At 39.7% G+C, this 26,866-nt stretch overlaps 2 long non-coding RNA genes across 5 annotated transcripts in view; both read left to right on the top strand.

Moving 5' to 3' along the window:
- The window catches only part of ARNT2-DT (ARNT2 divergent transcript), a 59,344-nt gene extending 44,490 nt beyond the window's left edge, over window positions 1-14,854 (top strand). For all 4 annotated transcript variants that reach the window (NR_184068.1, NR_184070.1, NR_184067.1 and 1 more), the window contains 2 exons: window positions 11,923-12,008; window positions 14,580-14,854. This is a non-coding gene — a long non-coding RNA (ARNT2 divergent transcript). The remainder of the gene's footprint in view (window positions 1-11,922; window positions 12,009-14,579) is intronic.
- Window positions 14,855-17,901: 3,047 nt separating this feature from the next.
- Window positions 17,902-26,866, top strand: part of LINC00927 (long intergenic non-protein coding RNA 927) — a 78,738-nt gene continuing 69,773 nt past the window's right edge. The window contains exon 1 of the long non-coding RNA NR_033833.1: window positions 17,902-18,151. This is a non-coding gene — a long non-coding RNA (long intergenic non-protein coding RNA 927). The remainder of the gene's footprint in view (window positions 18,152-26,866) is intronic.

Below are 26,866 nucleotides of genomic sequence, written 5' to 3'. Positions count from 1 at the left end.
TCTTTGGGAGGCTCATTATTTTAGATTTTGTGGACCTGGAAGGTTGCAGGTTAGAGTGGCCTCTATCACTGTATATGTTGGTCAGTGCAAACATATGATAGCGTTAGCCCTCCAGTTTCTAGTGAGTAAGGAGAGAGAATTGAAGTCAGCTATTGGCAGGAATTCCATTTACACCAAAAGATATGACAAGAATGCTCATAGCAGCACTATTCACAATAGCCCCAAACTGAAAAACACCCATTGTCAACCCAGCGATAAAATGGATCCATAAATTGTGCTGTTTCCGTGTAATGCAATAGTAAAGAGAACTGAAAACGAATGAGTTATAGGTAAATGCCACAACGGATATGAATCTCACATAAAGTGTATCAAAATACAATGATACAAAAGAATACATACTGTTTACTTCCATTAATATAAACTTCAAAAATATGTGAACCTGAACCATAGAGTCAAAGTCATGGAAAACAGATACAAAATAGCACATACAGTATAACTCCATTTATTTAAAGTTAGAAAATATGTGAAACTGAACTCCAGCGTTAGAGGTCAGAATAGTGGTGATCTTTTGGGAAGGAAAAAGGAGTCGTAAATGAAAGGTGACATGTGGGGAGTTTTTAGGGAACTGGCAAAGTTCTATGCCTTGACCTTGCTGGTAGTTTTATGCAAATTTATTAAAGTCTTTGACATCTTTAAGTATGTATGTTGTATTTTAATTTTTCAAAAGTTAAAAGATATAGACGTTGAAAATTTAAAAACACATTCCTCAATAAAAAATAATGAAAATTAGAGAATAACTAGAACTTTATTTTTGGGGTGTGACTAAAGTATTTAGAGGAAAATTTATAGCCTTAAGTATAATTATTGGAGAAGACAAATTTCTCAGTATTAATAGACTAAGCATCTAAATAAAGAAGCCAGAAAAAAAAACCCTAAGAAACTAAATGCAAATATAATAGAAGGCAAAAATAAAGGTAAGAGAAGAAACAAATTAAATAGAAAAAAAAAGTATCAATAAAGGCAAAAGTTTGTTCTTTGTAAAAATAGATATACACACCAGTGAGAAGATTGATATAGATTAAAAAAAAAGCCACAAATAAATGCAATTAGGAAAGATAAGGGAGTTATAAATATAGGAAGATTAGATTTAATATACATAATATAAATTACCTTACTCAATGAATGTAAACCTTTAGATAATATAATGTAGTAGAAAAGTATAATTTACAAAAAATCCAAATTCACAAAAAAATAGGCAAGTAAATAGATCATATTCATTAAGTGAATTCAATTAATAGTTAAAAAAAGAAAACAAACTGTTTTTCCTATACTCACAACACTTCTGACACCAAATGTGTGGGTTTTCCAAACCAAGGAATTTTTTACATCCCTGCAGATACTAACTGGCTGTTCTATAATTTAATTCTGATGCTAACAACCCTGTGATGGTGGCAGACCCCCCGCCACAGGTTAAGGGTTCAGTCCCATAAGACTGTGCCCCATTTTAGAGGCCAGTTGCAAATAATGGGTCCCCAGGTTACCCATGATTTCTGTCTGGCTTGGCTACAAACTGGAGGCTCCCACGACCCCTTCCTTACGTTCAATGATTTGTTAGACGAAATCACAGAACTCAAGAAAACATTTCACTTACTTTTACTGTTTATTGTAAAGAACACAACTCAAGAATGCCCAAATGGAAGAGATGCCCAGGATAAGGTGGGGAGCCACACAGTCAAAGCTTCAGTGCCCTCTCTGGGTGCACCACCCTCCCAGTACCTCAGTGTGCTTACCAGCCGGGAGCTCTTCAATTCCCATAGTTCGGGGTTTTTTAGAGAAGCTTCATCACATAGGCATAACCAATTATTTAACTCAGTCTCCAGCCCTTTTCCTCTCCCTGGAGGATAGAGGGTGGGGCTAAAATGTCCAACCTCCTAATCATGCTTGGTCTTTCTAGTGAATAGCCCCCATCCTAAAACAATCCAGGAGCTCACCAATAGTCATTAAAACCAAAGATGCTCCCATCACCCAGATATTTCAGGATTGAGGAGCTCTGCATCAAAAACTGGGGGCAGAGACCAAATATATATATATATTATTTTATTATCACAGTAGCTAAAAACTCCCTGTAGAAACACCAGGCCCAGATGGTTTAGTAGGAGAGTTCTATTAAATATGTATCCCTTAGGTCATCTCTATTGTTTATGGTCCTAAAGAAGAGAACATGGGGAAACGTTCCTCAACTCATTTACTACCACTATTGATATGGGTTGGCTCTGTGTCCCCACCCAAATCTCACCTTGAATTGTAATAATTCCTATGTGTCATGGGAGAGACCTGGTGGGAGGTAATTGTATCATGTGGGTGGGTTTCTCCTGTGCTGTTCTCATGATAGCAAATAAGTCGCACAACATCTGCTGGTTTTATAAAGGGGAGTTCCCGTGCATATGCCCTCTTGCCTGCCACCATGTAAGACATGACTTTGCTCCTCATTCACCTTCAGCCATGATTGTGAGGCTTCCCCAGCCATGTGGAACCGTGAGTCAATTAAACCTCTTTCCTTTATAAATTACCCAGTCTCAGGTATGTCTTTATTAGCAGCATGAGAACAGACTAATACAACTATAAACTTAATATTAAAAATAGACGTGGGAATTATAAGGAAGGTCAACTCACTGTGAATATAGACTTGACAAGCTCACATTTGTAAAAATAGCAAACAGAATTCAGGAATGCATACTTTTAATTATGTCCAAGTTGTGTTTATCCTAGGAATACAAGGATAATTAACATTAGAAAACTCCATTCATGTGACTTAACACATCACTTTACTAAAGGAAAGAACTAATGGTTTTCTTAGTAGATACAAAAAAATGGATAGAATTCAAGACATTCATGATAAAAACTTTTAGAATATAAACCAGAAGAACATGTCTGTGCTCTAATAGAGTATCTGCTTCTTCCCTCTCAAAATAACCCTACAACAAACTTCATACTTAATGTAGAAAAATTTGGAGGATTCTTTTAAATTTGCCATTTTAATATTCGTTATCTCGCCAAAGCTATATTTCTCTCTGTCTCTTTTTCTCCTTTTGAATTATTCCATTTCATCCCTCATTAGCTAATTAGTTATATACTGTGTTTATACACTTTATTATCCTTGTAGTGGTTAGCCTACTTCCTCAGTATGAATAGTTGATTTATGGCAGCAGAATTTAGCTAACACTTTCACCAACTTTCAGGACAAAGCATGGGCCTTAGAACACTTTAATTCCATTTACCATCCCTCTCACATTTCATGCTATTGTGTTTTCATTTCATGTATATTTAAACTCCACAATATATGATTTTGATTGCTTCATATAGCCAGTATTAATTTTGTTTTGCCTACGTGTTTATCTTCCCTATTGCCCGTCATTCCTTTATGCATCCCCATGCTTCCATCTGGTTTGATTCTTTTTCAGCGTCTTTGCCTTACTATTTCCTTTGATGTGACAAGTTCTCTCTTTTGGTCTTTGAAAAATGTCTTTATTTAGCCTTCATTTTTTGAAAAGAAATCTTTTGTTTTTAAAATAATTTTAGATTTACAGAAATGTTGTAAAGATAGGACAGAAAATACTGCCCCTTAACCCAGCTTCCACTAATGGTTCTTAAATAACCATGGTACATTGTCAGAACTTAGATTTTTTTTTTTTTTTTTTTGAGACAGAGTTTCACTCTTATTGCCCAGGCTGGAGTGCAATGGTGCAATCTCAGCTCAGTGCAACCTCTGCCTCCTGGGTTCAAGCGATTCACCTGCCTCAGCCTGCCAAGTAGCTGGGATTACAGGCATGTGCCACTACGCCCGACTAATTTTGTATTTTTAGTAGAGATGGGGTTTCTCCATGTCAGTCAGGCTGGTTTAACATTGGTGTAATATTACTAACTAAATGGCAGACTTCATTAGGCTTTCAACAGTTTTTCCACAAATATCACTTTCCTGTTTCAGGATCCAACCCAAGATACCACATTGCATTTAGCAACTCTCATTTTTTTAAAGAACATTTTTGATGGGAATAGAATTCTACATTGGCAATTTTTTCTAAAACTTTAAGGATATTACCTCATCATTTCTCTTAAGAAGTCAGTGAGAATCTTCCTGTTGCTTCTTTGAAGGCAATGTGTCTCTTTTTCTGATTCTTTTAGAATGCTCTCTTTTGCTTCGGCTTCTGTAGTTCTGCTATATGCATTTAAGTACGTATTGCTGGACATTTGGGTGATCCTGGTATGAGATGAGGCTTTGTGGGGCCTTGGGAAGTGGTATTTTGCATGTATGAGGAATGAAAATAAGTTGTAGACAGAGAGTAGTTACTGGTGGTTTTAGAAATATGTCCACAGTTTCTCTGATATACCATCCTTTGGAAGTAGATATTAATTCCCCTGCCCTTGAGTATGGGCTGGATTTAGTGCTTCACTTTTTAAAAATTTTAGATATAATTAATATATCATAAAAGACGTCCTTTTAAAGTGTACAATTAAGTGGTTTTAGCATTAAATATATCCACAAAGCAGTGCAAACATTCCCACTATTCTAGAACATTTTTATCTCCCCCCAAAAGAACACCATACCTATTAGTGTCACTCCGCGTTATCCCTTCCCCTCGGCTCCTGGAAACCACTAATGTACTTTCTGTCCTATAAAATCTGCCTATCCTGGATATTTATGTCAATGGAATCATGTAATATGTAGTCTTTCAAGACTGGTTTCTTTCACTTAGCATAATGTTTTCAAGGTTCATCCACGTTATAGCATGAACCAGTACTTCATTTCTTGCTATGGCTGAATAGTATTCCGTTATATGAACGTACCTCATTTTATTGATTCATTCTTCACTTCATGGGCGTATTTGTTTCCTGTGTTTGTTGTAACAAATTACCACAAACTTGATGACTTACAACAACAGAAATTCATTATCTCTTACTTTTGGAGGCCAGAGTCCAGAATCAAGGTGTCAGCAAGGGCACGTCCTCTCTGGTGGTTTTAGGGGAGGCTCCATTCCTTGTCTTCCAGTTTCTGGTGGATGCTGGCATTCCTTGGTTTGTGCCTTCATCTCTCACTGCACCATCTTCACATTCTCCTTCTCCTCTGGATCTTTGTGTCTCTTCCTCCTCCTCTTCTGTCTGACTCATGTCTCTTTCTCTACTTTTCTCTTATGAAGTCACTTGTCATTGGATTTAGGGCCCTCCCATATAATCCAGGATTATCTCAAGATTCTTACCTTAATCATATCTTCAAAGAACCTTTTTCCAAACAAAGTAATATTAACATGTTCTAGGTATTTGGTGTGAATACCATTCGAGGAGGTGGCATATTTCAGCCTACCACAATGGATATTTGTGTTGTTTCTACTCTTTACTGTTGTGAGTAATACAACTATAAGTTGCAGGACTTCTTTATATATGCTGAATACTAGACACTTAACAGTATGTGATTTGAAAATATTTTCTTCCATTCAAGGGGTCGGTTGTCTTTCTACTTTCTTGATGGAGTCTTTGGAAGCACAAAAGTCTTTAATTTTGATGACTCTCAATTTTTAAGTATTTTATTTGTTTGCCTTTTTATCTAATAAATTGTTGCATAATTCAAGATGATGAAGCTGTACACCTAAATTTTCTTCTAATCATTTAATAATTTTAGCTCTTACATTTAAGACTTTGATCCATTTTGAGTTAATTTGTGAATACTGTATGAGGTAGGGGTCCAACTACATTGGTATGTAGGTATCTAATTGTAGCAGCATCATTTGCTGAAAGACTACCTTTCCTCATTGAATTTTTTTGGCACCCTTGTCAAAAATCAATTGACCATAAATGTTTGGGTTTATTTCTGAGGTCTCAATTCAATTCTATTGATCTATATGTCTAGCCTTATGCCAATGCTACTGTTTCTTGTTTACTGTAGCTTTGTAGTACATTTTGAAGTCAGAAAGTGTGAATCCTCCAAGTTCCAAGTTTATGGAAGTATAAATAATCCGTGTATATTGATATTTTATCCAGCAACATTACTGACCTTGTTTATTAGCTCTAATAGTTGTTTTTTGGATCATTTAGGATTTTCTACATATAAAATTACATCATCCGCAAATAGAGACAGTCTTAATTCTTTCTTTCCAGGCAGGATGTCTTTTCCTTGCCTAATTGCCCTGCCTAGAACTTCCAGTACATTGTTGAATAGAAGTGGTAAAAATATATCTGATATTAGTAGGAAACCTCTCCATCTTTTAGCATTAAGTATGATATCTGTGGGTGTTTTTCAAAGATGTCCTTTATTAAGATGAGGAAGTTGCCTTCTATTCCCAGTTTGTTGAGTACTGGATTTTGTCAAATGCTTTTTTCTGCATCAATTGAGATGATTACGTGATTTTTTTTTCTTCATCCTGTTAATGTGGTTTATTATATTGATTGATTTTCACAGTTTGGACCAAGCTTGCATTCCTAGGATAAATCCAATTTGATCATGTTTTAAATGTTGCTAGATTTGCTTATAAATGTTGCTAATATTTTGTGCAGGATTTTTGCATTTATATTTATAATAAATGTTGGTATATAGTTTTATTTTTATGTGATGTCTTTGTCAGTTTTGTTATCAGGGTAGTACTGGCTTCATAGAATATGTTGAGAACTGTTTTCTCTTCTTCTGGTTTTTTAACAAGATGGTGTTAATTCTTCTTACTTGTTTGGTAGAATTAACCAGTGAAGCCATCTAGTCTTGGGCTCTTCCTCGAGGAAAGTTTCTGATTACTAATTCAATCTCTGTACTTGTTATAGGTCTATTCAGACTTTCTGGTTCTTTTGAATCAATCTTGATAGTTTGTGGAGGTTTTCTTTTTTTTTTTTTTTTAAGGAACTAGTCTATTTCACCTAACTTGGGGGCATACAATTGTTTATAGTATTCTTTTGTGATCCTTTTTATTTATGTAAGGTCAGTGGTAATGTTTCCTCTTTCTTTTCTGATTATAGTCGTTTGAATTTTCTCTCTCTTTCCCTTCAGTGTCTACTTAAAGGTTTGTCAATTTTGTCAATCTTTTCGAAGAAACATATTTTGACTTTGTTGATTTTCTCTGCTATTTTCTTGTTCTCTATTTTATTTTCATTCTAATTTTTATTATTTTTCTATATTCTGCATGTTATGAGTTTGGGGTCTAATACTTTTTCCAGTGTTTTAAGGTGGAAGTTTAGGTTGTTGATTTGAAATTGTTCTGTTCTTTTATATAGGCATTTATGGCTATAAATTTCCCTTTAAGCACTTTTTTAGATGTACTCCATAAGTTTTGGTATATAGTGTTTTCATTTTCATTCATCTCAAAGTAGTCTCCGATTTCCCTTTTGATTTCTTATTTGACCCATTGATTATTTAGGCATGCATTGCCTAATTAATGCATATTTATGAATTTCCCAAATTTCCTCTGTGAATGGTTTGTCATTTCATTCCAATGTGGTCAGAGAATATCCTTTCAGTGTGGGAAGAGCCTATGAATATGATCAATATCTCCTATGATAATGTTACTAGTCAGTTGACTTTTGAATTATTCACGCTGCCTGTGTAAGTAATAAACTATATCAATCTTTTGGGGATAATTAAAGGGAATATTATCTGAGAAAGTTTGGCCTAATCAAGCAAGCCTTTAAAATCTGAGCCCTTCCTGAAAAAGAGATTGGAAATATAAGAGGTCCAGTAGAGGGGACAATGAAGCAGGGACCTAAGACTAGCCTCTAGGAGCTGAGAGCAGTCTGGCTAACAGATAGCAAAAACTAAGGACCTCAGCCATACAGCTGTAATGAAATTAATTCTGTTAACAACCAGAGGCAATTTGGAAATGCATATTTCCCTCCTGGAGCCTCTAGATGAACTAATTTTTGCCTCCACTGAAAATGCATGCCCTAATACTAGATTGAATATCGGAAAGGAAGAAACACAGTTATCATTAACAAGATCACATGCTCTCAGTTCCCCATGTCCCATAGAATGTCATTGAACCAAAGGGGCCAGATGATAGGCAACATGAGTTATAGGGAGCTTTGTTGTGGAAGAGCCAATTCCATATGGCAGCTAAACAGTTTTATAGCCTGCAAACTGTATTCAAGGATGGAGGAGAGGCAGAAAGTCCCATGTCTTGTTAGAACCAGAGAGGCAAATCAGAAACTGCCTTGTGGTAGCCTCCCACAAGACAGAGAGGCACATGGGAAATGATCTGTGACAGCTCCTCACAAGATTGCCCATCTTGCCATGTTCCTGGGAGGATCTCAAGGTGTTCTGCCAATACTTGGATCAGTCTGGGGTTGATCCTTGCATGTATGGCCTAAGTGAAGGTACACAAGGTCACAGGGTGCCATGGCAAAACAGTTCTCCTACAATTAGAAGCTGTATTTCAGACAGTGTGAGGTCTGGTATGTTTCCAATTTTCCCTCTCTACTACTTTCAAAGATTGGAGTTGAAAGCCTGCCTGTCCTTAGTAAAATGCAGTACTGCCTGTCCTTAGCAGAATGGAGCTTTTATATTTGTCTCCTTAGCTTTTGGAGACTGTTAAAGGCTCTGTTGAGCTTCTCAGCCTCTGGGCTGTTGCTGAAGACTCAAAGGGAAAATATGAGCTATATAAAAGGCTCGCTTTTCTGAGTTTCCCTGCCTTCAGGCTTTTAAGCTTTTAATCCCTCAAGTCCTCATTGCTTTAATGGTTATCTCATGGCTTGAAACAGTTTGCAAAAATATTATTATTTTATAGCATTTATAGTTGTTCCTTGTGGGGGAGTTTGTGTGATACCAGCTAGCTAGTGTCATATCTAGTTAGCTAGATACCATCATAGTTTTTTTAAAAAAAAGCATTATTTTTAAAGTTAGTAATAAGATAAGATGGCTTGCTTGATTTACTATTTCTATTGACATGGTACTGGATGATGTTAACCCCAGAGCAGTGAATTGTAACATTTTTTAAAAAGTTTTTGCTTCCCTAAGGAGCCTTTTCAGGCATTTCTTTTCCAATAATTGCCACTCCTCCCCTGATAATTTTATACCACAGAAATACTGTACACATGTATATGTACCATAGCCCTTTATAGGGTCACAAACAACTGTAATATCCAAGATTATTTTTATCCCCCATTGAATAACCAATTTTTGCCTCCATTGAAAATGTACATCCTATTATCAGATTGACTATTGACTGGAAAGGAAGAAACACAGCTGTCATTAACCACAAATACATAATATTCTATATAAAGAAGTATCATCAAATTGTAGCCCAAGGAGCTCCTCTTTCTGTAAACGCTCAATGGAACACAGCCATGCCCATTTTTTTACATATTGTCTGTGTCTGATTTCACACCACAAAAGCAGTTGAGCAGTTTTAACAAAAAACAATGTGGCCCACAAACCTAACATATTTCTTGTCTGGGTTGTTAAGAAAAAGCATGACGACTCCTGATATCAAACACCCAAAACTAACTTCTAGAATGAATGAGAGTTTAACACAGTTGCTAAATATAAGATAAATGTACAAAATTAAGTTGCCTGTCTATAATGGCAATAAGGAATGTCCTGATTATTGTTACTATGTCAAAATTATCCAAACTTAGTGATATAAAAGAACAAAAATTTGATAATGTTGACAGAATCTGTGGGCCAGAAGTTTGAAAAAAAAATGGGAGAATGAAAATGGCTCTTCTTTGCTTTATGATGTATGAGGATTTACTGCAGAAGTCTCAAATAGCTGGGAGTGCAGGATTGGAAGAGCTCCATTGGCATGGAGGATCCTTTTCTAGGATAATTTTCTAATTCACACATGTCCTGCTATGCCTGGAAATGAGTTCAGCTGGGGTTGTTGACAGGAGCACCTATTGATAACCTTTCCATAAGGCTTACACTTCTCACAGCATGGTGGCTGAGTTATTATATGAAACATCTGAGAGGGAGACTTCAGAAAATGGGCATTCCAAGAAAACTGGGAGAAAGCTGCATGGCCTTCTCTGACTTTGCCTCAGAAGTCACACAGCATCACTTCTACCATAACCTACTTGTTAAAAGCAAGTGTTAAAGCCATCCCAGAGCAAAGGCAACAAGAATTAGTCTCCATCTCTCAAACGGAGATGTGGAGAATGTACAGTCATTTTTAAAAAGCTGCCACGAGGAATAATTTGTAAGATAGTGTGTTTTACAATGACACCCCACACACACATTTTAAATATCAATAAAGGTGTCCAACATCTGTTAGAAAACTTTAAAAAATCTTCATTGAAAAATATTAGGAACATCCTAAGTAAATGGAGAATTAGATTGTGTCCTTGGATGGAAAATAACTCCATATTTTAAAGACGACATCTGGGCGTGGTAACCTCTGCCTGTAGTCCCATCAACTCAGGAGGCTAAGGCAGGGAACATTTGTGACTAGGCGTTGAGTCTGGCCTGGACTACTTAGTAAGACTCCATCTCCAAAAAAAAAAAAAAATTAAAAATAAAGATAGCCATTTCCCAAAATCAATCTATAAATTCAATATGGTATCAATTGCAATTCCATCAGGGATTTTTTTGGGGGGAGGTGGGACCTAAAAAGCTAACTCTCACAGTATATGTAGAAAGAGGACCCAAAAAGTTTTTACAGAACAAAATGTTTGGATTCACCCAACTGGAAGTCAACATTTATTTTAAGATGGTAATAATTAAGAAATCATAGTATTGGTATATAAACAGACCAAACTTCCCCAGATTACACAGAATAGAGAGCTTAGAAGCAAGCACACACTACAGAAATTTTGATCTACAATAGGGATGTCTTTACAAATGAGTGGGGGAAATGATGATTACTCAATGGATGATGAGACTATTAGTTATTTGATTATCTTTCTTATCTCATATCATACTTAAAGATCAATTCTAGGTAAATTAAAGACTTAAGAATATTAAAAGCAAGGAACAAAATATCTAGAAGTAAATATAGGAGAATATACTTGTGCCCTAGGGAATGGAAAGGATTTTTTAAAGAAGACCGAAAAGCATAAGCCAGAAAGAAAAAGTCCAATAAATTTGATTCTATTAAAACTTTAGCACACTGAAATTGTCCAGGAGCACAGATAGAAGTCCTGAATGCTTAAAGACGTGTATATTTGTGTAACCAACACAGGATTAGTATCAAGAATATATGAAGAAACTTTTAATGCTAAATGAGAAAGAAAACAATAAAAAGTGGGGTACACGGTACAAAAATCATTTTACAGAAGAACACTGAATACCAGTAAACATGAAAATGTCCTCAACATTTCTAATAATCAGGGAAATTCATATGAAAACAACATTGTGGTACTATTTCACACCTGTCACGTTTAAAAAATTAAAAAGATTGACAATGCCAGTTCTTAGGTAGATCTATAAACTAGTAAAATCATTGAAGACAATCTGGTAATATCTAGTAATGCTGGAGAAGCACCGTGGTAAGAGCTAGGATAGCTAACAGATAAATGTTTCTTTCTCAAAATGGGAAAGGGCTATTGGGGATGTAGGAGATTTCTTGGGCAGATGATTTTTAAACGAGATAAGAAAATTAAGAACATGAAAATGGATTCCTTTAAGACTGTGCCCATGCACTCTTTGGAAAGATTCTGCTTTCCAAGCAATGCAGTTTGAAGACCTGTGATCTAGTAATCTTCTTTACACATTTTGTTTATTGGACAGAATGTGTTGCTCAGTATAATGTGAATATCTAGTCCAACCAGGTCTATTTCTTATAAATTTATTAGCCAGGGTTTGGCTTCTCTATATGTCTCTCTGGTGACATGCATGTCTGGTCCATTCTAGGTATTTCTGAGTAAACAATACTAGGATCAGATTATAAAACTTGCTTATATCACTAAAATATTATTTTGTGTCTTCTTGGTGGTCATTCTGTCCCTCCTGGACAGCCTCATGCCTGACTGGACACTGAAAAAGAGGTGAAGAGATGAGGCGATAGAACAAAAGAACAGAAAGATAATGAAGCTGAGACTAAGTAAGTGAAAGGTGAATAAAATTCTCTGGTGTTGACTTGCAGAAAGGAATGTGCAATGTGTGTTTCTATTCATTAGATGAATTATTTTATTCATTCAGTGATTTATTCATACTATTTGAATTAATTTATTTGAATAAGTAATACATTTACATCATTCAAATCCAAAAAGCATAAGGGGGTACAATGTCCCCCTCTCAATTCTACCCTTAGCTTCCCAGTTCCATTCTCCAGAGGAAACAAATTGTTTGGTATCAAAATAGAAATGTTTCTATGAATATACAAGGAAATACATATATATATAAATTCTTCCCTTTTCCTCTTGTTTACACAAATGGAATCATACCATATACACTTTTCTAAATCTTGCTTTTTTTCCACTTAGCATAATATCCTAGAGATATTTTCATGTAAGTACATTAGAATGTCCTCATTCCTTTTTATGGTTCCATGGTGCTTTATTGTATGGATGTAACTTTATTTTTCCAGTCCCCTACTGGTGAACGTTTGCTTCAAATCTTTTGCTCTTCCAAACAATGCTGATTTTGTGCATATATAATTATGAGCACCTTAGTGAGTGTGCCCGTGGCATAAACTTGCGGAAGTAGAATTGTTAGGCCAAAAGGCATGTGCAACCTGATGTAATTGTATCAAGAATGTATCTGAATGCCTGTCACCTCTCACTCTTGTCAATACAGTGTGTTACCAACCTTTTTGACCTTTGCCGATCAGATAGGTGATAATGTTCTCTCTTTTCACTTGTGTTATTATGAGTGTGGTTGAGCCATTTGTATTTCGTTTTTTGTAGATTGTTTCTATCTTTTGCCGTTTATTAAAATTTAATGTTTACCTTATCAAAGTTATACATGCACTCAGTTTGAAGAGTCAACTTGTTCTGCAAAGCTTGTTAAGGAAAACAGAAATTCCTTTCCCCATACCATAATTTTTTCCCACTCCCTACAGGTAACCACTCTCAAATTTTTTATATAATTATCTTTGTACTTTAGTTTATATCTCAAATTAATATATAGTAGAATAAATACCAATGAATAGACACGAATTTACATATCCAAGAAGCTTAACAGCTCCAAGCAGGATAAACCCAAAGGGATTCACACTGAGACACATTGTAGTCACACTGCTGAAAGCAAAAAACAGAGAATCTTGAAAACAACAAAAAAGAAGAAAGTCATCACACACACGGAATTCTCAATAACATTAATAGCATATTTTTCATCAAAAACCCTGAAGGACAGAAGGAAGGACAATGACATATTTAAAGTGCTGAAACAAAAAAAAGAGCTGTCAACCAAGAACTTGTATCTAGCAAAATTATCATTCAAATGAAAGAGAAATTTGGATTGTCCCAGATAAACAAAAACTGAAGGAGTTCATTGCAAATAGACCTGTCCTACAACAAATGCTAACAGGAGTCCTCCATGTCAAAATGAAAGTTTGGCAGGTTGCAAAGAGTAGTCTGCAGGCTTCAACAAGCCATTTAACCTGTCAGAGTCATAGCCTGCTGTTCTCTAATAAAGAAAATTAATCACCCTTACTTTGAACAGTGGCTTTGAGAATAAGATTGAATATACACACATAGGACTTTGTCTGACATATTGTGGGTAGGGCCAGACCATAGAATTGTGAAGGCCATGCACTGTGCAACTCAGGAAATGTCATTTGCATAGCCTGTGAGAAAATGGCAACCCCTGGAGTTGTGGAACACCATGGTCTTGGTCATGGACATTCAATCAATGACAGCAGAAACTCACAACATCTGTCCTCTCTTTTACAATTTAGAGATCTGCTCATTTTTCATAATGCTAAAACTGCCTCCTTCGCTGTCCTCTTTTACAAAATTGGAAAAAAGAAAATGTAGAGATTATGCTGCTCTCATATATTCCTTTTTACTCATTTAAAAAACTTCTGAAGGATAATGCTTGAATTGGAGCAGGATTTTTTTAATTAAACGCCTTTGTGCATTTATACACACCACCAGACCAGGGTATATCGGCTCAAACATCCTACAATGTGCAAGCAAGAAGCAGAGTATCTCTCTCCACAGACAAGTGAAGAAAATTTTATTTTTTTCAGTCACTTTATTATACAAGCTCTTTCCTCATTGTATTTAATCCTCAGTTATATGAGTAATAGTCTCTATTTCCTTATCTTTGTTTTCACTGATGTAAATAAGGAGAGCAGTACAAATTTAACAAACTCATCAACATTCATGAATTCATTCACCAAATATTTTTGAGCTCTTCCTAGGTGCTAGGCACTGTCCCATGCACCAGGAATATGTTGAGAAACACAGCGGACAAATTCGTGTCCTTGTGGACCTTCCATTTTTGAGGAGGAGGCAGATGATATACAAGCAATACAACACGCAAATAATGTAACCAGGGAGTGATACCTATTATTTTACAGCTGTGTTTCTCTGAGTCCTCTCTTCGCTGTAAACCTGGGTAGACACCTTGAAAAGATTACACCAAGTAAATATGAAAAATAAATTTTATTTCAGTTTCATTTTATTGTGTTAACCTCCTACCCTATTTGCTTTTGTATTTTTTTAAGCATAATTATGTATGCAGCCACAAATGGAGCACAAAGCAATTACTGCTTGTGGGAATTTGAGAGATGCTCTTTGAAGAGGTGTGAGGGAATCAGTAATACTTGCAGTGACTTTTAAGGAGGTGGAGTGTGCTGATGAAGATGCCACAAAGAACTGATGGGAAGTTATTCCTCTCCCCAACTGCTATTGTATCCTTCCTGTAGTGCTGTCTCTGCTTTTTGCATCTTGCCCAGTATATTATGACACAAATAAAAATTCTCTTTTCATCATCTTGCAACTTGTAAGAGGCCTGAGAGAATTCTTGTGCAGGGCCCTTAGAACACACATGAAAAGATAATTTATTAAAACATTAAATTCATATAAAATCTTCCTATATTTTCTTCCTATCCCACCTCATTTTTGGGCTCAGATCACAAGCTGCCTAAGTGCATGGCTTTCAGGGTGTCTGTTGTAAAAACCTCAGCTCACTGACATTACACGAAGTGAACGAGAGGCTGAGAGGGGCATAGGGAGTTGAGAAAGGGAAGGAGAGAGTTCTAGACATTAGGAAGGAGTGGGCCCTGTTTCTGGGAGGTGCCCTGGAGTAGGTGGCAGCATCTGGAGGGAAACAGAAGTGCCTAGGGGAGCCCGGCCTTATCATGGGACTCCTGGGTCTGCCACAGTGCTTGTGCTCAAGCAGGATATGGAAGCTGCCAACCAATGTTTCTAGAGACACCACACATGATGGGGGGAAGGCTTTGTTGAGATTCTTCTCCAATGCCTGGGTTTTTCATTAGACCCTGGGAGTCACTGCACAACTCTGGGTGGGGAGTAACCTAAGAATAAATAAGCTTACATTTTCCATCAGTTTGGGAAGCTGAGATCTGAAGTTGAATTCAGTTTATTTAAAATATATAAAGAAGGTAGTTTTTTGAGCAGGTGGTTTTATGCACAGATTCACACCTACATATACATATCAGTCATTTATCCACTCAGTCAACAAAGGCTTACTAAATAATAGCTATATGTCAGAACCTATACCAGATAATGTTGATACAGAAATGATGAAGCAGAGGTTCCTGAAAGTCAAGTGAGGGAAACAGCCAAGTTAACAAGTATATCAGGTATCTTTTGCTATGTAACCAATGACCCAGAAATGCAGTGGCTTGAAACAACAACCATTTAATGGGCTCATGATCATGTAACTTGGCATTCTGGAGTTCTGTTCTAGGCCAGGCTCTGCAGCTCCAGATGGACTTGCTCATGTGTCTGCAGTCAGCGGCCAGATCAGCTGGGGGTTGGGTCAGCTGAGGGCTGGCTGCTCAAAAAATAACTCAGCTGCAACAGCTGGATGCTGTCTCTACATGGTCTCTTATCAACCAGAGGGCTGCCCTGGGCTTGTTCCCATGGATTCTCAGGGTATGAAGAGCATCATTGCAACCCCATGCATAAACTCCTTTCAAGTCTCTGCTTGCGTCAGGCTTGCTACTGTCCCAGCGATGAAGGCAATCATAAGGTCAGCCTCAACCCAAGGAGGGAGAAAGACTCCTACTCTTCAAGGAACAGCAGAGTCACATTACAAGGGTGTGGATACAGAAAGAGGAAGAACGTGTGGCCATTGTTGCATCCACCACAATTAGTAAATGCAACCCAGTGTGTTCAAAGCTATGGCAAAGGGTTGTAGTAGGTACAAAAGAGTGCACGTCACAGGGTGGGAAGCTCCATCAGGGATGGGTCAGAGACAGTTTTAGCCTGAAAATGATACTTGAGCCAGATTTGGAAATACAAAATTGTGGAAGGAAGAAATGATCTGATATATCCAGGAAACCAGAAGAGTTCTCCAGAGGGCACAGTGCAAGGTGAGGGGTGCCTTGGGAGGGAAGAGCCCGAGGAGAAGGAGGGGCCACTGGGGCATTTCTCTACATTTCTAACTAAGCCCAGATCTTCCCTGTTCTATTGTGATTCCAACCACTTGTCCCTGTCCTGCCCTCTGGAGTCACACGAATCACACCCCTCTCTTCCCTGGAGAGAGCATGTATTTTCCTCTATATATTCAGCTTCTCCCACCCACCACCTCAACATCATAAACCTTTTCTCAAAATGTTCCCACACTTTGCTGCTTCCTGTTCTAAATGGCCTCCAAAACAGAAACAGAGTCTGACTCAAGCAGAGCTCAGTGGGCTTTCCCCAAGTGTCTTCCTAACCCCTAAGACAGGTTGAGAACAAGGGTGCTGAGCCCCAGTACTTGGTTGTGAGGCCATGATGCCGTCACTGTCTCAGCAGCCCCAAGGAAAAGCATGGGAGTGCTCGCTGGAGCTTCACATTGATCCTTCCTAAGGGTTCAGGGATGGGGCTGGGGAAGTATGGAGGGCAGTGGCGCTGGGTCCACACTTGAGGGATGGCAACTCAGGCATCTAATCAAACAGTCCTGTTTTGCACCAATGCCCATAAGGGCAGGTCTTATGTGTGATTGTTATTCATTCACTTATTCAATAAATGCACATGGATACCTGCTCTGTGTCAGGCACTGCCCTACTCTGTGGGACTAAGGCATGAGGCAGACCTGGTCTCTGCCCCAAAGTTCATTCCAGTCATTTAAGAGGAAGGAACAGGTTTGTAAAGGAGCCTCCCCTGTGGTCCTTGAGTGACATGATGAGGGCTTATCAGGCTCTGAATCCATAGGGCAGGGACATCACCACATCTGGGCACCCTCAGCAAGCTGTGACCTGCAGAGTTAACAACAGTGAGTGTTTGCATGACCATGTCCTATAGCAGCCACTGTCCTAGATGCTTTCCACGGGTCCACCAGTGAAGCCTCTTACAACCCTGCGAGGTGGGCGGAGTGCTCTCCATCTTAAGATGTGGGGAGGGAGCAGGGAGAGGACACTTAGGGGTCCCAGACCCCCAGGCCTGGGGTGGGGTTGGGACACAGGCAGCAGCTGGTGCAGGCAGCTCTGCTCCACCCCAGGTTCTCTGAGGGAGGGCGAGGACAATTTTCCAGTCCAGGGACCAGCTGTGAGGAGACTCAGGTGTGGAGACCTGAAGGGATTCAGGGGGACCTTGTGTGACTAAGACTAGGGGGAAGAGTTTCAAACAGAGGCAGGGGGAGGTTTGGGGGAAGCCACACCCCACCACAGTCTGTCCCCATTCCCTGCAGCATCTCTCCTTGAGAAATGGAAACTCCATGGGAGCAAGGAAAGGTTCAAGTCCATTTTGGTAAAGAATTATATAATTTCCCACCCACGTTTTCCCCTTGCCCCAAGCACCTATCACCAGTTGCCAGGTGTGCCTGTCGTCGTGGCCCACCCCACTGGACTAGGTCAGCAATGATGTCACACAGGGCTCTGGAAGCTTGGCGCTCACTCAGCTCCCAGAAGTTCTCAGAGGGTGAGGGTCCCACATCTCCTGCAGGACAGGCCCTAGCTACTGAGTCACAGAAACCCAGGGCCGAAGCAAAGTCCCAATCCCAGAGAGGCTGGGGCACACCTACAACTGAAAGGAGGCTTAGAAATCCTTCAGAGACCACCCTATCGGTTCTCCTCCACCTGGACAGGATGAGCCAGCAACACAGAAGGAAGAGGCCTTCCTCCGAAAGGTAGGGGATGAAGCTGCCTCTCAGGGATCAGAGCTGGGCCGCAGGGCTCTGATGTCCCCTGGACACCTCGTCAGAAAAGGAACATGTAGGATTTGGAGTGCAGGATGAGGCTGGCTGAGGTTTCCCTGAGGAAGTTCTCACTGTTGTCTAGTGGACAATTAACAAAAGTTTGTAATGGGAAGGAATAACTGAAGGAATAAATGAATGGGAGAACCAAAAAATTCTCCTGTGAGTCTGAAGGGCTTTTCTGAATAGGGGCAGATGACTGTCTCAGGTGTTTAAGCCTGGGTCCTTATGTCCATGGAAAGGACGAAGTGGGCAAGTGGGACAGAGAGCATAGCCAGAACGGGTGGGTAGGGAGACCTGTCCTTCAGTTCCTCATTACTTATGAGAAAGAATTCACATATCACTTGAGGAATTAAGGAAATAACAGCAGTAGGTATGGAAGTGGGAGCTGGAGGGAGCTCACACTGACCCCGGGCCCCCGACACTGACAGAGTGAGTTCTGCAGCTGCCCCCAGCCTGGATGGGGAGGAGGGCTGGGCAGACCCCAGTCCCCCATGCTGCAGAATCTTCCCTTCTCCTCCTCTGTTTCCTGCCCACCTCTTCCTGGGGCTTCACAACCCCTCACAGCCAAGTCTCACTTCAGAATCGGATTTTAAATTCCTGCTCTAATTAACGGAGCTTCTGCTATTATCATAGTTTTGCACCCTTTCCCCGCCCAGTGTCTGCACCCTACACCTTCTCTGGCCAGCACCTGGGCTGCCCTCCCCTGGCACCACCCTGTGTCTTGTTGTTTATTTGGTCCTCTCACCCCTCCCAAGAGTTCCTCTTCAACTGTGTCTCTGCTTGCAAGATTTACCCAGTCCCATCCACAAACTGCTCTCATCTGTTTTGATCCTGAACCTCCAATCTACTCTCATATCCAGAAACTAGCACAGACCCTTAGGCTGACATATCCAGCCCCCAGGTCCACTCGGTGGAGGTTTTTATACCTGGGCCATTGGCGCTTGCGGCATCAAAAGGCTCTCAGATACGGATGTCTGTTTTCTGCCTTTTCCCTGATGGGGTCCATCTAACAAGAACATGTGAGGGAGTTTCTGTTCAGAGCAAGGCCATTTTAACTTTTAACTGTTACTTAGAAAAAGCACAAGAAAGATGGACACATGGCAGAGTCTTAAAGTCAAAGAAGTATTCTGTAAGCATAATTCTTCCTATGAATGCCTTCTCTATAAAGAGGTTGAAGCAAGGTGAGCAATTCTCCTGTTTGAATGCTAACACTAAATGTGCTAAGAAAATCACTTTCATAGACACATCTCAGAGAACTACATATTATGTATGTTAAGGAGAAATTAGATTGTTTCCAAGTCCCAGAGAAGCAAATTAATTTGGCATTAAACAAATGTTGCAATACAGGAAAGAAATTATCTTTAAGATCCTCCATTACAAACCAGAAAAGTCCCAGTATGTATGATAATGTTTTCAGTGTAGCTCGTTATAAGGCACTGCTACCACTTGTACCACTGTGTGCAGGAACTCTGTCTCCCATAGTGGTTCCCCCAAATGTTTGCAGGCCAATGATAGACATCTGGAAAGATGAAAGATGTCATGGGATTTCAAAACAAGAGGGAGAACAATAGGGATGGAGAAGTCCCCAGGATCCCTGAGACCAGATAGGGATCCCTGGGCTCACAGACAAGGACGCAGGGCCAGCGAGTTCATGTGCACTACCTCCATTCTCAGAGGCCTCCACCCCAGGGCACAGGGCCACGCAGCCTTCAACATCTGAATGCAAAAGCCCAGGCTTGCATTTTCCAGATGATAAGGAAGGAAATTTTATGATTCTTAGAGGCACCAAAGTTGAAGAGGTCTGGCCTCTCCAGGGTGAGCACAAGCTGGGGTTTTTCCAACTGTCCAAAGTGATTTGGCCAAAATCTTTTTCCTTAAAATCTGCATCTTTCCAGTTAATGTCCTCCAAATGCAGTCCTGGAAAGTAGCCTTGGATGTACCAGGTTGGGTTTTCCTTTACACCAGTCAGGAGAGGAAGGTGGGAGTGGCACATCAGAGAATCTTCTAGAATCTTCTAGTGGTTACATAGTGAGTTGCACATCATGTCCAGCCTTCTTCCTTCCAAGTAGACAGGTACACTCCAGAGTTGTTTGGAAAATAATGCATTAACCTTTACATATTTCTTTTGGTCATTCATAGGTATAGAGGCCAGAAGAGGTCATTGTCTCCAAATAGCAAGCAAGACCTCTCCGAGGCTAACTTTGTGCAGTCTGTAGGTGTATTCATGCCGTGGCTCAAATCTTTAAATCCAACTTTAAAGATATTTTTATCCTTATTCAAAAAACATATCCAAAATTAAAAATATATATGTGCTTTTTTTTTAACTTAGAAAACTCTTATATCCCTACTTAAACATGTGCAAAGTACAAAACTTTAAAAAGACAAAGTTATAATCAGAACTGCCCCTCAAATGTAAATTGCACCTCTCCTTGAAGGTACCAGTGTGAAAAAGCACTTGTATATCCTTCTATATATTTCTCTTTGCTCAGACACACACATATATATAGTCACAGGCACACACGTACAGCTGTTTGCTGTGCTCTTTTGGAAACTGGGTCACGCTCTACCCACATTGCTCTGCACATTTTTTCAATTGACTACCATGCTTTCCTGTTAAGTCAGTAGATATAGTGCTAACACTGTGTTTTTTGTTCTAATCTAAGTCATTTAACATAAATTAATTTCATCTATAACAAAAATATAGTATACCTTATATACACTTACATAAACTACAGAATGAAAATGCATATCTAACTCTCCACTTTATGTCCCTGTCCCACAAGTGAATCACAATAATTCATACCAATAATCTGGTAAGCAGTCTATCTTATTATCCTTGCTTGCACAATCATACACACACACAAACATGTGCATCTACTCTTTTATGCACATATAAATACATATAGGTATTCAAATATATTCAAGTATTTGTTAATTTTACTCAAATGGGCACATTTTATATATACTAGTCTGCATCTTGATTTTTTCCTTAACTATTAATTCAAGGAGATTTTTGTTGCTCAATTGCTGTAGCTCTATTTCATTCTAATGACTACCAAATACTATTGAATGATGTGGCTGTGCTATGAATTATTTTCTTTCTTCTTTTTTTTTTTTTTTTGAGACAGAGTCTCGCTGTGTCACCCAGGCTGGAGTGCAGTGGCACATCTCCACTCACTGCAAGCTCCGCCTCCCAGGTTCATGGCATTCTCCTGCCTCAGCCTCCCGATTAGCTGGGACTACAGGCACCCACCACCACGCCTGGCTAATTATTTTTTTAATTTAATATTGTAATTTATTTCATAAATTATGCTGACTCAACTGATTATTATTCTGGAAAAAATACCACTGTACCACATATATTTACAGAATTAAAGAAAAAATGAATTAACAATTTTAATAGAAAATTAGAAGGGAAATGTAGGAATATTTTCTTAACCTGGATAGGAAACCCAGAAACTATAAGAGAAAAGACAGATGTAATTGACCATAAAACATTTAAGCAACTGAAGTGGAGAAAAAAAGCTTGGAAAACAATGTAGTACATGAACAATAGAATTGGAAGATTATTTTATATGTAGATGACAACAACATAACTTTGTATTTCATACGAAAGGGGCAAAATTGGGCAGTCGAAAAATAAACAAATGAAGCTAATCATTGGGAGCAAATCCAAATGCCCAGTAAACATAATCAGCATTGTTCAAAAAACTGGTAGTAAAGAAACTATCCATCAAAGTGCCAGTGAAACTAGCAAAATTAAAAATCAGTGACCCCTGGTGCTAGCTGGGCTGTAGAGGAGACGGATCCTGTCAGACATAGTTGGAAATGGGCATTATTATAGAGCTTTAAGGGAAGCAACTTGGCAATGGCTATACAATTTTCAAGGATTCTTTGAGCGGGAAATCTCACTCCTTGGAATATTTCCCACAGAAATGAATGCTATCATATACAAAGGATGTTTAGTACTATTTTTAAAATAATAGCAAGAGATAATAAAATGACTGCCCATTGATGGTAGAATAAGAAAATAATTCACAGCTTTGGGAGGCCGAGGCGGGCAGATCATGAGGTCAGGAGATCGAGACCATCCTCACTGTTCTGGTAAAAGGAGTGACTTCAGGACTTCCAAAGAAATGATCTTATAGACAAGATCCATTCCCCATACCCATTTACTGAGACTTTTAATTCCTCTTCCTCTGTCGACCACAATAGTTCTAGCATCTGCACTTAAGGAATGTAGTCCCTTCCCTCCCAAGAATCCAGGCAGCATAGTAGGATTGTTTCTAGAGTCTTTGCCATGGACACAAACACTGTGTTACAAGAGATTTCTCCTGTGGTGACAGATCTCCCATTCCCAACTTTATATTCAGCCCTCTCCCGAATCAGTGAGCTCAGGATCCATTCCTAAGCATACTCTCCTGTCTTGCTGGCCACATTAACCAGGTCCTGCAGCTCCTTCACTGTAGAGTCCTCTTTGCTCTTAGTAGAACCAGTATTTTATCAGCTGTGTTATCTGATATTTACCCAAATTATGCCTGGGGACCAGAACAGGAGATATGGGTAAATACTGATGCAGTTTTCTTAGGGCTGCCATACAAATTACCATAAACTTGGTGGCTTAAAACAAGAAAAATGTATTCCCTCACAGTTCTATAGGCTAGGAACCTAAAATTAAGGTGTTGGCTGAGCCATGTTCCCTTTGAAGATTCTAGAGGAGACTGCTTCCTTGCCTCTCTCCTAGTTTCTGGAGGCTTCCAGCAATCCTTGGCATTTCTAAACTTGGAGCTGCATCAGTCCACTCTCTCCCACCACTTCACATGATGATAGCAGAATGAAGATGACAGAGGAAAAATTAATTGAACTCGAAGCTAGTTCAATAGAAATTGTCCATTCTAAACAACAGAAAGCAAAAATGATTTTTAAAAATGAACAGGACCTAAATGGCCTAAGCACCAGTATAAAAAGTCTAACATTCATTCAATAGAGTCCCACAGGAGAGGAGAAAATGCAGTGGTATTTTAAAATGTTTTGAAGAAAATTTCCTAAATTTGGTAAAAGACAAGCTTACAGATTTCAGAAGCTCAGCCACTTCCAAAGAGAATAAACTCAAAGAAACCCATGTCTAAACACATCCTAACCATCTATCAAATATTAAATAAAAGAAAAATGCCACGAGAAAACCCAGAGAAACAGGATACATTTCTCTCTCATAGGGAAACAACCATTCAAATGACAGCAGATTTATCATTAGAAGCCACAGCTGCCAGAGGCAGCGAAACCATGTTTCTTAAACGCTGAAAGAAAAAAAAAAACAAAAACCTGTTAACTCAGAATTCTATACCTAGACAAAATATCCCACAGAAATAATCAGAAAATGATATTCTCAGATGAAAAAAAAATGAAGAGAATCCATCACCACCAGACTTACTCTTTCAGAATGCTGAAGGAAGTTATTCAGACAGAAGGGAAATGATAACTGGGGAAACTGAGAATTAAAGAGACATAGAAATGGTAACTACTGGGGTGAATAGAATAGATTTACATTCTTCTAAGTTTTTAAAGGTATGAATTATGGATGAAAGCAAAGATGATGACATTGTGAAGTGGGGTTTTCAGTGTATGTAGATGTAATATACATGACAGCTACAGCATTCAGGGTGTGAGTAAAGAGACCGACATGATGGTCAGGTTTCTAATGGAAGCGCAATGTGAAAAGTTAAACATGACTCTTTATATTGGGTAGAATAAGAGGATCCTGGTCCTTAGGCAGACTCCAGGAGTTTTAACATCCCATCTAAGAATCCAAGTACTGCTGTAGCAAGCGATGGTCTTCAGGAGACCCCTCCCATCCTGGCTCCAGGGCACTCACTTTGCATTCTCTCCTTAGCTCCCTGTCCTCCAACTGTTTTTAGCTCTATGTGGAAAATCCACCAAATGATCTCGTTTTTGTTTACCACTCAACCTCAGCTTTTGGTGCATCCGTGGTTTGAGGTCCCCTCCCCTGCCTCTTTCCCTTCATGGTCCTCTGCCCCCACAGACCTCCATCTCCTCATCATGTTGCTCTGTCCCCTTCTTGGTGTCCCAGGCCCATTTTCTACCATAAAGCCCTTCCCCCAGGACTCTTCCTCTCAGTTCTCTGTTCTTTCCTCTCCTGACGCTTTCAGGTCCTCTTCCATAACAGCACGTTGACCTCACATGCACACGCTGAACTCACACACAAACACAATTTTTCCTTGGATTCACTTTGTAGTACAAAGCCTTAAATTCCAAGGCTTATCCTCAATAAGTAAAGAACACCTCAAGTTTCAATGGCCTTGGACTATGCCTGTCAGGCAACAGACTGTTTGTGGACAGCCAACTACTTAATCTCCCCACGTAAGTATTGGTACCTAAGTAGCTGTGCTGTAAAGCTCCACGCTGATGCCAATAAAGCCCTCACCGCACAGCACTGTGCTGACTCTGCCCTTCGGGAAGCTTTTCTAGCCTATGGGCAACATTTTGGAATACGCTCTCAATGGCAACTCATTATTAGAGAATGGAATTGATTTTGGAAAATATCTGAGAGATGTGTGAATTTAGGCAAATAAACTAGAGAATAACATTTTAGGCCCCAAATGAGAGTGTTTCCAAAAAAAAAAAAAAGAAAATGAAGCTGAATCCCATACAGCCCATAAGCCAGCTCTAAAGGCCATTTCCAGAGAAGCCTCTCAGGCACATCTAAGCCATAGCAGCATTAGGAGATTTGTGAATAAACTTCCCATGGGCCTTCTCAGAAGGGTAACCTGCCATTTAAGTACAAGATCAGTGCTTTATATAGTCAAACGGCATAATCTTGATGAGAATTAGAATGCTTCCTTGAGTGGAATGTATTTTCATCAGCAGAGTGCCTCAAGGACAAAGTTGAATTGAAAAGCAAAGCAATTCCCATCAGCTTCTTATCTGAGACAGCTTTTGTGATGATTTCATGACACACATGAAAAAGGATACAGAAAATTCTGCCTTCTTTTTAACTCTCCATAAGAAGCAGGAACTGATCCCAGAAATCAGGCCCCATTGCCCCCAAACTCCACTTCTTGTCCAGTTTCTCAGTTAGATAATAAAATCAGGAACTGGCAGCCAGCTGTGAGAAGACAAACCCAGGAGATGTTTGCAAGGGGAACACCTCTCATGTGCAGTGAAATCCAAGTCTTAAGATCAGCCAGGGAGCTGAAATGCCTGATACTCCATCCTGCAGGAAGAATGGGATGAGGACTGGCACCCATCATCCACCTGAGAGGCTTTAGAGGCTCCCTCCTATCATGAGTCAAATGGCACTTTCAACCCAGTCAAATAAGTTCGGGGCAAAGACTTTCTCCTTTAGAATGAGAAATGGGCCAGGACCCACAAGTTTAAGGAGCTTCCACTTAGGCCAACTTTGCAGGTTCAGGTCACACTGGTCCCTGGCTGCATTCACACCTTGCCTTTCCACCTTATCCACTCACCCTCCTCCCCAGCATTCCTCTGGCACTGTGTTCCTGATGGCTTCCAGTTATACAGGTGTGGTTTACACAGCTCTTTGACCATTTGAGATGTGGCATAGGGCACAACCCCACAGTGCCTATTTCATATTCCTAACAGAGAACCTACTAAGAAGGAGGGAAGGACCACAACACTCATCCTGAGGCCCTGATGTGGAGACATCCAAGAGGAGGGCTGTGATGGGGACGTCTTTGGCTTCCAGAAGTTTCAGAGCCCTCAAGGGCTCATAGTCACCAGAGTTATCCCCAACTGCTGGGAAACTGAAGAGACTCTGACACTCTGTGCATTGAATGTGCAGTCTGGAAGCTCAGACGACCTCTGAAGGACTTTTCCCACCCTCCCCTCATCCAGCAGTGGAGAAAGTCCTCAGCAGGGGAAGGCAACAGTATTCCTGGGAATCTTTATCCCAAGCAACTAAAAGGAGCATACACATTATTGGGAGGTGTTTCATGAGAAAGCTGGAGGCCAAGGAGGCTGGCAGAAAAAAAGGAAGCGAATTTTACTTTCACTTCCTAGAAGTCTTGTTTAGGGCTTTGTTTAGGGCCCCTAAACAACTAAGCCTCCAAACAGGCATTTATTGCTAACGTTGACATTCCCTCTGTCAATGCATAACCCATATGTCGAATCTGGAGAGTCTGTTTTGAACTTATTTTGACAAGTTCCTCTTTCCTCTGATGGTCTATTGACACCTGGAGATGATAGTGGAAGACACTGAAACTCCTTAGGCCAGACCAGGCTTTGCTGCAGGAATCCTCGCAGTTTAGTTCCACCTTCCTCCTAAGTCCCCCATGGACTATACACAGTAGGGGAGCACCATGGAAGACCTGCTCACAAGCACTCCTGAAAATTAGGGCATCTCCTACTTTATCAGCATCAGAGTTCCCTGCAGTCTTCTAAGAAGTGCAGGTCCACAGAATCCCCAGCTCCAAGGTCCTGGGCAGCTATTGGCACATAGGCCAGTTTCTAGCATCTTCCATGGGCCTCTTCCAGGCTGAGCATCCAGAGCAGTGGTGACAGTGGGGACAAAGGAGAACCCGTGGATTCCGCCTGAAGAAATAACGTGGGGACAAAGGAGAACCCGTGGATTCCGCCTGAAGAAATAACATGGGGTCAGGAAAACAAGGC

This window comes from Homo sapiens, chromosome 15 (genome assembly GCF_000001405.40).
Source record: "Homo sapiens chromosome 15, GRCh38.p14 Primary Assembly".
Lineage (NCBI taxonomy): Eukaryota > Metazoa > Chordata > Mammalia > Primates > Hominidae > Homo > Homo sapiens.
This window is presented reverse-complemented; position numbering and strand designations above follow the sequence as displayed.